Source organism: Homo sapiens, chromosome 2 (assembly GCF_000001405.40).
Source record: "Homo sapiens chromosome 2, GRCh38.p14 Primary Assembly".
Classification (NCBI taxonomy): domain Eukaryota; kingdom Metazoa; phylum Chordata; class Mammalia; order Primates; family Hominidae; genus Homo; species Homo sapiens.
Window position 1 is genome coordinate 189,386,423 of NC_000002.12, and position 12,677 is coordinate 189,399,099.

The 12,677-nt window shown below is 34.9% G+C and overlaps 1 protein-coding gene across 3 annotated transcripts in view; it reads right to left on the reverse strand.

Annotated features, from left to right (window-relative positions):
• The window catches only part of COL5A2 (collagen type V alpha 2 chain), a 409,214-nt gene that overhangs the window by 354,525 nt on the left and 42,012 nt on the right, over positions 1 to 12,677 (reverse strand). Inside the window, exon 3 of one of the 3 annotated variants that reach the window (XM_047443251.1) lies at positions 3,069 to 3,219. The exons of the other annotated variants lie outside the window; for them this stretch is intronic. The gene's annotated coding sequence lies outside the window, so the exon portion shown is untranslated. The remainder of the gene's footprint in view (positions 1 to 3,068; positions 3,220 to 12,677) is intronic. 3 annotated transcript variants of the gene reach the window in all.

Here is a 12,677-nt window from a genome sequence, read left to right on the forward strand (position 1 = left end):
AATAATTTATGACTAAGTCCCCAAAAGCAACTGCAACAAAAACAAAAATTGGTAAGTGGGACCTAATTAAACTAAAGAGCTTGTGCACAGCAAAAGAAATTATCAAGAAATTAAACAGACAGCTTACAGAATGGGAGAAAATATTTGCAAACTGTAAGTCTGACAAAGGTCTAATACTCCAGAATCTGTAAGGAACTTAACAAGCAAAAAACAAATAACCCCATTAAAAAGTAGGCAAAGGATATGAACACATACTTCTCAAAAGAAGACATACAAGTGGCCAACAAACATATGAAAAAAATGCTCATCATCACGAACTATCAGAGAAATGCAAACCAAAACCATAATGAGATACCATTTCACGCCAGTCAGAATGGCTTTTGTTAAAAAGTCAAAAAAATAACAAATGTTGGTGAGGCTGTGGAGAAAAGGGGATATTAATACACTGCTGGTGGGAATGTAAATTAGTTCAGCCACTGTGGCGAGGAGTTTGGAGATTTCTCAGCAGAAAAACTGTTTGACTCAGCAATTCCATTACTGAGTATATACCCAAAGGAATACAGATCATTCCACCAAAAGGATACATGCACCCATATGTTCATTGCAGCGTTATTCACAATAGCAAAAACATGGAATCAACCTAGGTGCCCATCAATGGTGGACTGGATCAAGAAAATATGGTACATATACATCATGGAATATTATACAGTCATAAAAAAGAATGAAATCATGTCCTTTGCAGCAACATTGATGCTGCTACATGCCATTATCCTAAGTAAACTAATGCAGAATCAGAAAACCAAATACCAAATGTTCTCATTTACAAGTGGAAGGTAAATATTGGATACACATGGACAAAAAGATGGGAACAATAGACAGTGGAGCCTACTAGTGATAGAGAGAGGAATGGGAGCAAGGGCTGAAAACTACCTATTGGGTACTATGCTCAATACCAGGATGACAAGTTCGGTTATGCCCTAAACCTCAGCATTATATAATATACCTCTGTAACAATCCTGCACATGTACCCCCTGATTCTAAAATAAAACTTTAAAAAGGGAAAAAAAGAAATAGCCACGCATTCCTGGAATAAGTTCTACTTATTCATGATGTGTTATTCTTTGGAGGCATTATTGTATTCTGTTTGCTAATATTTTACTTAGAATTTTTGCATCCAAGAAGATTAAAATTTTATATAAACTTTGACTCAACAACTCCACTTCTGGGACTCTAGCCTATAAACAAAGTTGCAACAGGTTAAGATGTTTATGCTCGAAGATATTAATGCAGTGCAGTTTACAATGGCAAAAAAAAGTTGTTGTTCTATAGAAGCCAATTTTTAAACTGCAGCTTCAAACTAGAGGGACAGTATTCTCAAAGTTTTATATACTAGTAATCTTATAGAAAGATGGGGTGCAATGGTATAATCTTGGCCCACTGCAATCTCTGCCTCCCAGGCTCAAGCCAGCCTCCCAACTCAGCCTCCCAAGTAGTTGGGACTACAGGCACATGCCATCACATCTGCCTAATTTTTGTATTTTTTGTAGGGACAGGGTCTCACTATGTTGCCCAGGCTAGTCTCAAGCTCCTGAGCTCAAGCAATCTGCCCACCTCAGCCTCCCAAAATGCTAGAATTACAGGCATAAGCCACTAAGCCCAGCCTGTTAGAGCATCTAAATGTGTAACCAAAAATTCCATATGTACACGTTCAACCTGTGCCAACTTCTGTTCTAGGCATAAGAACACAGCAATAAAAATGGCTCTCCTGGAGGACGATAAGATAAAGTAATTACTGCTATATGAAAATAAAGAGTGACAAGGCAGGGAGTGCTAGAGGGAGCATTGTCAACTAGGAGGGGTGATCAAGAAAGCCTTCTTTAAGGAGGTGAACTTTAAACGGAAAACTAAATGATGGAAAGGAGACAGGAAGGTAAAGATCCACCTTCCAGGCAGAGGGAACAGACACTATAATAGTCCTGGGGTGGAAACAAACTAGAAGCAGATAGAGTTCTGCATGACTGGCATGCAGTGTGATAGGCAAAGAGCCTTGAGGGATGAGGTTGGATAAGTGGGCAAGGACCAGGCTGAGCACGTACTTGCAAGCCAAGATAAATGGCGGGATTTTGTACTAACTACAGTAAACAGGCATTACAGGCTTTCAAAGCAGAAGTGTGACATTGTGTGATTTGATTTTAAAAGGTCATCATTGTACAAAAAATAGATTGCAGTCATATAGGGTTTAAGTGGGAGCAAAATAAAATCAAGAATTAGGAGCCTAATGTATTCACAAACTATAAAGGAATATGCTCCCTTTGTTTTTCTAACATTAAGTAATAGTAATGCTGATCAGAGACAAGTGATTCAGTCCTCTGCTTGGCATATTTCCTCTCTTCCATTCATTCACTCTCATTTATTCATTCTGCAAAGATTTTCTAAGCACATTTTATGTTCTAGGCACTGATACTAATCAAGAGAACAAGATGGTTTAGGCAGTTCTCCTGATCTCAGAAAATGCTAATGGAAGAGCCACTGAAAGGTTCCCAACATTCTATCGCAAGCAAGCTATATTGAATAGTTATGATCAAATATTGTAAATCAGGTATCACCCGGTTCTAATGTTCTATTAGTCTGTTATAGTTCTATGTAAATTTTTAGGAGTTTTTTTTGATAGCCAATTTTATTTTTGGAATCAAAATTAGTAACAAGTCATCTATCAAGGGAAGATACAAGTTATGTTTAACACTCTATATAAAGTAAGCCCTTCGCTGTAGCTAATAGTACACTTTCTTACAGAAAATTTTATGTTATGTGACAGTAGACAATAAGTCTCTATCAGTCAGCACTTCAGCAATATCCAGCATATGATTGATGGCCATAATTCTATAAATTCCTATGACCCTTTTAGCAGCAAAGCTTAAGTTACATTACTGGGAAGCAATGTTCAGACAAAAATACAGAAGAACAATTATAAGATACATTTGATTCATCCTACCAAAAACAATTTTGAATGAAATCATCATAAACAAATGGCAAAAATTTTAGGAGTTTTTTTCTAAGATCTTTTTTACCTTCTTTCTCAGACAATTTATCTGCTCCAGTGACTTTAGAATGCCTGAATCCATGCTGTCAGTGCAATCTTTAGTGTAGAATCACTCCATAAATTTTAGATTGGAATAAAGCAATTTGGTCTTTCAACCATATGTATAATCTGCTGGAAATCTGTAAAGGAGTTGTGACATTATTATTTATTCCTATTGTATTCACAAGAGACAAAAAATAAGATTAGTTACAGTTCCTAATTCCCACATCTCATCACATAACATGGTTTCTCTCATTAATTGGATCATTAATGGAAACAAATGCTATTCCAATATAAACTGAAGATCACTGCAATGGACAATGTTAACTTCTTTTGACCTTCTAGCATTAAGGAGTCTGTAGTAAATCTAAACATATCCAAAAACTGGACAGAAGATACTACTGCATCTAGAAGCTACATTCCACCAACATATTTTCTCTTTTGCTAAATTTCATGAAACCTGGAAACACTGTGAAGCATTTTGTGAAAACATATTGGTCAATGGACACATTGGTTTCTATCATTCTAATGAACAAAATGACTGAGCCCTAGAACAGATTCAAGTTCTTTTTGGCCTCCTAGATCTCTAGGAACTGCCCCAAATCTAGCAAGTCCAACCTAAAATATGATCAAAATAGAGCAGAAGTAGGCCCCCTGAGGCTGCCTGTGTGTTGAACTGTAGACTCACCATCTTAGCAACCCCAATCCCCTGGAGCTCACCCGCACAAATCACAACAGCATATGCCCAGATGGTTTGGTCCTTCCAGCAAAGATATACATAGTCACAGCAGAACATACCTACATGGTTGATCTGACTTGAAAGTCATGAACAGTGTTTGTAAATACAAAAAGAGGTCTAATAAATCTGTCAAGATGATTGAAATCTTTACCAAAATGTCTTTATCAAAAGAGTAAAGGTAAACTTGACTAGGCATACTCCCTAATAGAGAGAAAGTCCCCAAAAGAATGGCACAGAAGACAAGTGAATATCAATATGAATCATATGAAATATGGTTGCTGCTGCCTAACAAGGCTTATTAGGGTTGAGATGGAGTAAGGAAGGAAATTAGGTTATGAGATAAAGGCAACAAATAGAGAAAAGCTAGGCATAAAAAGTTTGGATTAAGAAGATATCCAAATATAATGGCTGCTGTCAAAGATCATAGGAACATGTGGTATGGACCATGCTCACCTATGTTCCAAAGTTGTTAAAAGATATTAGTAATTAGCTCCCAACTGCAATCTTCACTTTACAGTCTCACTAAACACAAGAAAATAAAAGATCAAAAGTAAGGATAGAGGTAGCAAGTACTTAAAAGCCATTTCCCCAATTTATTCAGCAAATTGAGCAATTTATAACACTTAATAAGGCATCCATAATTTATTTCTGGAATTTGCTAAACTTGAATTATTTACATGTTCTGAGACTGTCACATTGGAGTGAGATGCTAAAAATACTAATAGAAGCTAATTTCTTAAAATAATAAAGTTTTCCTTTTGGTCATCGGGTTTGTTTAGTTCAAATGCGAGTTTATTAAAGTTGGCTTAAAAGGTAAGTCATTAGTCAGGGAAACTTGTGATTTTTAATTTTGAAAGATTTTTTTAAACTACTTATTTTTGAAATGTATCCAAAGCAATAACACTACTATGAAAGTAACAAATGCTCTGAGACCCCAAATTTGGCTGGGTCTTGTAACACGGCATTTGAGGTTTAGATCTGAAATGTAAGTAGGATGGCAAGCTGCATTCTACTCCTGTATTCCACACACAACATCTGACAGATATGTTATATAGGGAATTCAGTTTAATGTTTGAGCTGCACATGCTCTTAGGCTGTATGGTAGTAGGAATTACATAAACCATCTCTGACTCGTGGCTAAGTCTCCTCCGATGATGACAAACTTAAAATGAGAAACCACTGCTCTCATTAAATAAAATGTTGATTGCTTTGGATCACAAAAGTGCAGAACTAGGGTAAACAAAGTAACAGTTGAACAAAATAGCAATCTAGTGTATCAGAAGAGACGATGTGCAAAGTGTAATTACTCTGGATTGTCTTTTACCAATAGAAACTAATAAAAGTGCTTCCTTCTATCCCATCTAATGTATTCAACATACTGTCCTCAGAGGGCATCCACCAGATTTCTCCTTCTATTAGAAGGAAGTCATTCCTTCTAAAAAGATGGATTTATAAAGTCCTTTTAGGTATACTTACATACTGTCTTTTACTTATTTCTGAAATGTAAAAAGAAAAAGGTTAGAACTTGCTTCAAAAAAGATTACATCAAATTTAGCTCACTCTACATACTAAAATTATTTGATTTTTTGTGGTTGATGTGATTACTTATTGGCCCTTAGTTCTTTCCTTTGGAATGGATATGTTTTCCTTACACTAACTGTGCATCTCAATATTATTAAGTTTGACATCATATTGAAATGGTGTTTCTATTAGGGAACTAGTCTATATAAGTTATTAATGTTCAGTTGAGATATTAGTTTGTCCTTTATTAAAACATTTTGCCATGGTAATACATGATAATATTCCTTTATTCTCACTATTTTTAAAAATAAAACAATTTGAGCAATGTTAATATTGGCATATACAAATGCATTTTTACATTTATGTATCAAGTTATAAAATATCTGAGAAGTTTAGACATTGGGCTTAACTCAACTGCTCAAAATTCCACATAAACCTAGGAAGTAAAATTTGGGGATGTGAATAACTGCCAATGCAATCCCTAGAATGAGTACCTTTACAATGTTGTTAATAGATTTTGGACTCAACCAGAGCTGGAAATATCTACAACACTCAGGAACTACTTCCTAAAAGATGTCATACTGACTTTGACCTTATCCTCTATAGAAATAGTTATGCTCTCCTCCACTCCTGATTATCCTAGTCTTTCACAATCATATCAAATGATTATCTGTCCCTTTTCTTTAACTCATAAAATAAAATCAGAGTTTACATGTCCTTACCCCTGGAAGTAAAGAACGTTCCTTTCTTCTTCCTTTAACTTTATAGGACAAATATACTTCCACATGCACCTATCTAAAGAAGCAAATCATCTTACTTTATCACCAAGAAAAATGCTTTCCTTCATCCCATTACTCCCAGGCTGTAAAAAGCTTAGTCCCAGCCTTGTAGCAGGGAGGAGGTAGGGAAGATGGGAAAAAATAGAAACAGGGCAAGAATTCATTGCAGTGTTAACAGATGTGATAGGCACAGTAAATCATACTCATCAAATGGCCCAAGGTGCAGGTAACCATTTGAAGGACCATCTATTTTCTAACCTTGCCTAGAAGCCTTGTTAAGGATTTAGTCTAGTGATGAATTATCCAATCACCTGGGCAGACTAAGTATCTACCCTAAAGGTACTACCAGTAGGTAAGAAGAATTAATTTTTGGAAATACCACATTTATCTGTAAGAGAAAAAGTCTGTAGTATCAGTTACATCTATGTTCCCCATATAGTCATATCTTATTGCTTCTGTTTACAGAATAGAACTCTACGCATAAATAAAAGAAAAAAAACTTTACTGTAGGAACAAGTAGTGAAAATAATTTATTTGCCAATTTGCATTTAATTAACAATGTCATTTTAGCATCATATGTGTGCCCCTGCAACTCACAACCTCCCACTTTTTCAAACTTTTTTTTTTAATCTTCAAATCCTTTTTACAGAAAAACACACAAAAAAATTGCTTTCAGCTGTGACTTCATTCTGTATGTCTAAAAGTACTATGATTTTCCAATCTTGGGTCTGGCAATATCCTTGTTTATTCTTTTAAAAAAATAAGTAAAATTGAAAGAAAACTAATAACTAAATTGGATTACACTATGTCCCATTTTGTAGTCACTGGAAAACTTCATATGCAAATAGCTTTTACACAATCTCATTAATTCTTTTTTTAATATGTTTTTCAGCTTAAATATGGACTAGTACTACAGAGACCCATCTTTCTATAGTTTAATTAATATCTCTATTTAAATTGTATGAAACTTCCAGAGAGAATGTGAGTCATTGTCAAAGTAGTATCTGTATAACATCTGATGGTTAATGAGATGGGTTTGTGGTTTGAGGAATGCTGTTTATAACAGGGAGATTTAAAGTTGAGTTCCCCTGGACAACAGTGACTCAACTCTTTCCCAATTTACAAAGAAGCATTAGTCATGAAGTGATAACTGGATCTTTCAATAATTAGGTCTTACTCCTTCATTCTTATAGCTTCTATTAGATCTCCCATTTCTAAATTGCCAGAAGAAATGAACTTGCAAGTGCCTTTACTTTATGCCAAATTTCCCTCAATATTTCCTAGTTACAGTAGCAAAACATAGTAATGTCTGGCTTTTCACAGCATGCAAGACCTTCGCCACAATAGTTTCCAGCTGCCTGCCTGCCTTTACAGCCTTAAAAGACGTTCTGTCCACTTAACTTTCATTTCTTCTCAGCCAAAGTTTTTATGCTCCCCATCTGTTGTAGGCCATTTTCTTCCATTCAACTTTATTCATCAGAAGCTAAATGAGGCCTCACCTTGAGCATACCTCCTAATCACACATTCCTATGGCAACCAATTCTGTATAATTGCTTGAGTCCTTTAAGGTCATTATTGTGTATTCTTTCCAAGGGACTATCCTTCTAGCAGAAAAGATAAGTTGTTCTTGGATAATGTTGATTTTAACCTAAAGTAGGTAATATAGTAGGAGAAATAACCACATAATATGAATTGAAGAGTATAAGAAAGATTTTGAAAAAAAAACATTAGATTCTTCATACAAAGCCTTTTTTAAATTTAAATATGAATAGTCTTGGGAGAGTTACTATGGACTGAATGTTTGTGTCCCCCAGAAATTTATAGGTTGAAAACCCTAATACCCAATGTGATGGTATTTGGATATGGGGACCTTTGGAAGGGATTAGGTCATGAGAGTTACCTTATAAAGGGATTAGCGCCCATCTAAGAGGAGACACGAGTGAGCCCACTTCCTCTCTCTGCTCTCTAACATATTCTCTGTCTGCAAACCAAGAATAATACTTTCAACATGAACTTGTCCATACTAGCACCCTGATCTCAGACTTCCATCTTCCAGAACCATGAGAAATAAATGTTTCTTGTTTAGCTATCCAGTCTGTTACAGTAGCCTGAAGTGGGTAAGGCAGCTTAATTCAGCAAAGTAATCACATAATAAAAACAGAGACATAAAACCTCTGTCTCCATGACAGGCTCATAAAGATACAAAGTATGAAAGGCACAATGAAATAGAAAAAAGGTATACAATAAAATGAGGTAAACCTTGCTGAAAGATAATTCTATCTAATTGAAATGTGGTCCTTTCCCAGAGACTCACTTTTTTGCTCATAGACTATAAATAATGTAAATTAGATTGAACAATAACTAGTTTTGAATTACATACTTTATTTTAATCATTCATTTTAGGTTTGTCTTTTCAATGAGATGGTTTACAGCCAGAATTTGTGTTACTTCCTTAGAGTACAATGCTCATTTTTAAAGCTTCCACAAACCTCCTGGATAAAAAGAGATCAGAGAAAAGTATCTCACTATAAGCACCTAAAAACATTTCAGTCAATAAAATTACTTCTAGATGATGCTATTAGAATAATGTATTTTAAATGAAGGATGAAAGACTGCCAAATGTACCTAAGATTTTAACAATTTCTGTGTCACACTTTATTTTACCATTTTTAACATTGTTTAAAGATTTCTTCATCCCTTTCGTGGTCTTTTGGACAAAGATAATGTTTACATTATGAATTAAAATGAAATAGATTTATAGGAAAATGCATAGTATGAACAGAAACTGGAAAAAATGTTCATCAATTAGTAGTTTACCAAAGCATATCACAATTTGTTGGCCAAATTTTAGTATCTCTTTTTAGGCATATACTTGAAATTCATAACAAAAAATACAAGCTTCAATAAGTTCCATAGGCCTCCCTTTTGGTTTTTATCTTAGGGATACCAGATGAAACTTGAAATTTTGTATAACAACTAAATTTATATTAGTTAGTAATGAAAATATAGCTCACTGTTTACATTTCTAAGTACAATTTGGAGCAAATATATTATAAAAGCCATTCTTAAGAAGCTCCTGGTGGCTGGGCATGGTGGCTCACACCTGTAATCCTACTATTTTGGGAAGCTGAGGCGGGTGGGTCACTTGAGGTCAGGAGTTCGAAATCATCCTGGCCAATATGGTGAAACCCCGTCTCTATTAAAAATACAAAAAAAAATTAGCCAGGTGTGATGGCAGGTACCTGTAATCCCAGCTATTTGGGAGGCTGAGTGAGGCAGGTGAATCACTTGAACCCAGGAAGTGGAGGTTGCAGTGAGCTAAGATGGTGCCACTGCACTCCAGCCTAGGACACATCTCAAAAAAAAAAAAAAAAAAAAAAAAAAAAAAGAAGCTATTGACTAATTTTGCAATTTTACAAGAAAAATGTAGCTACAGTTTTGTGGGTAATTGTCAATACTATTTACAAAGAATATATACATAGCATCTACAGGATGGAAATCAGGATATTTGAGTAAGAGTAGAAACCAAGACCCTTTTTTAGAATACAGGAAACTTCATTAGTATTTAGTCCCAATTTCTCACTAGTGTTGGCTTAAGAAATTTATAGATATTTTTCTCAAGGATAAATATGATAGCTGTAAAAGCTAAAGTGTGTGATCTCAGACAAATTACTTAACCTCTCATTCACAGTTTGCTTCTAAAATTTTCTTTTCTCAATTCTGTACCCCAAAGGGTACATGCAGACAATTTTGGAAATCACTGGTATAGTGAAAAGAAATAGGCTTTAAAATGTAATGCCTTCATGAGACTAAAAATACCACCCTCATAGAAGTATAGTTAAGAATAAATGGGCCGGGTGCGGTGGCTCACGCCTGTAATCCCAGCACTTTGGGAGGCTGAGGCGGGTGAATCACGAGGTCAGGAGATTGAAACCATCCTGGCTAACATGGTGAAACCCCGTCTCTACTAAAAATACAAAAAAATTAGCCGGGCGTGGTGGTGGGCCCCTATAGTCCGAGCTACTCCGGAGCCTGAGGCAGGAGAATGGCGTGAACCCGGGAGGCGGAGCTTGCAGTGAGCAGAGCTCGCGCCACTGCACTCCAGCCTGGGTAACAGAGCAAGACTCCATTAAAAAAAAAAAAAAAAAAAAGAATAAATGAGGCCGGGCGCGGTGGCTTATGCCTGTAATCCCAGCACTTTGGGAGGCCGAGGCGGGCAGATCACCCAGATCACCTGAGGGGAGGAGTTTGAGACCAATCTGACCAATATGGTGAAACACCGTCTCTACTAACATACAAAAATTAGCTGGCCATGGTGGCGGGCACCTGTAGTCCCAGCTACTCAGAGGCTGAGACAGGAGAATTGCTTGAACCCAGGAGATGGAGGTTGCAGTGAGCCAAGATCATGCCACTGCACTACAGCCTGGGCGACAGAGCAAGACTCCGTCTCAAAAAAAAAAAAAAAAAAAGATAAATGAGATAATTATATAAACGTTTCTAGCATAGAGCCAGATGTGTGCCCCAGATTCATAGTTTCATAGGTTGAAAACCCTAATCCCCAAAGTAACAGTATTTGGATATGGGGAACTTTGGAAGGAATTAGGTAATGAGAGTGGAGACTTTATGAAGGGTAAAATTAGTACCCTTCCAAGAGGAGACACTTAGGCCTGATGAAGGCACTCAGTAAACAGTAACAGTTCTCTTCTTTTTTAATTCAATTATTCAACAAACCTTTATTGACTAATTGTAAATAACTGGTGCTGGATGCTGGGAATACAAAGGAGCTTGTGGTTTAATGAAGAGACAGACGAATAAACATAAGCAATGTAGTAAGAATATTTTAATACTAGAGACCTATTCCTTCAACTGGTATTATCTGAGCACTGCTGTGAACCAGACATTGCCAACTTTTAAGGTAAGACTGAATCCTAGTAGGAAAGGTCTCCAATTATTGATTCTATTTCTTTAATGAATCCAAGAGGATTAATGTTTTCTCTTTTAATCATGTCAGTTTTGTTGAGTTTTAAGAAAAATTTTCATCTATATTTTCAAATTTATTAGTAAAAATTTGTTTATGTATTTCATCGTTTTAATGTCTGTACAATCTGTGATGATGTCTCCTTTTTCATTTCAATATTAAACATTTGTGTCTTCTTTCTCTTGTCTTTTATTAATAACACCAAAGATTTATCAAACTTATTACTCTTCTATAAAATTAAATTTTGGCTTTTTAAAATTTCTTATAAACTTGTTTTCTATTTTATTAATTTCTATTCTTATCCTCATTATTTTCTTCTTTCCACTTTTTTAGTTTAATATTCTGTTCTTTTCCTATCTTATAAAGATGAATTGTTGATTTTTAGCTTTCTTCTATAATAAATTTATTCAAAAGTTTATCTCTAAACAGGGCTTTATATGCATTCCACAAATTTTAATATGTCATATTTTTATCAGCATTCAGTTCAAAATGTTTTCTAATGTCTGTGGTAATGCTTCTTTTAACCCATGGATTATTCATGATAGAACTGCTCAATTTCCAATCACTTAGAAATTTTCTAGTTGACATTTTTTTCATTAATTTCTAGTAATAATCCAATTGTGCTCACTGAATACATGCTGATATTCAATCTGATGTTCATCTGCTTTTCTATCTGATAAAATGTGTTGAGCCGGCCAAGCTATGGAAAATGTTTTATATAAGTTTTCTTCAGTTGCTGAGTGCAGTCTTCCATGTGTAAATACATATTTATATGTTAGATAATGTTTGCTATTGCTCAAATCTTCCATATTCTTCTCTCTGCTCAATCTGTTACTTAGAAATGTTATGTTAAAGTCTTCCACTTTAATTGTTGTTTTGTCCATTTAGTACTGTCAATGCTTGCTTTATATATTCTGAAGCTATTCCATTTGATACATATAATATGGAAATTATTATATCTTCCTTAAAGATTGAAACTTTTACCATTATTACTTATCTCTCTTTATCACCTATAATGCTTTTTTGTCTTGTAGTCCAGTTTTTCTGATGTTAATTTCATTATATCAGCTTTCTTCTGGTTGCTGTTTGCATGACATATCTTCTTCAATCCTTTTTCATTCGACCTTTCACTGTGCTTATATTTAACCTCTGAGTAGCAGAGCAAAATATTTATCTTTGCATCCAGTCTTACTATCTTTGTCATTTAATTGGTGTCATTCATCTGCTCACATTTAATGTAATGATTGATCTGAGTTAAATCATCTATACTATTGTTTTCTTTTTCTTGCATTATTTTGGATTGTGTGGTTGCTGTTATCTTTATTCCTCTCTATTCACTAGTTAGTTACACATTCTTTTTACTACTAGAGGTTATTCTATGATTACAATAAGCAATCTTAATTTTTTTAAGTCTAATAGTATTTTTACCATTTCTTAGACAATAGAACCATAGAATAATTGAATTCCATAAATTCTCTCTCATACTTTGTGCTGTTTTGTTATATACTTTTAAACCAGCAGCATATAGTTAGCATTGGTTAATACAATCAATATTCATTTGGATACATCCATATGTTTACT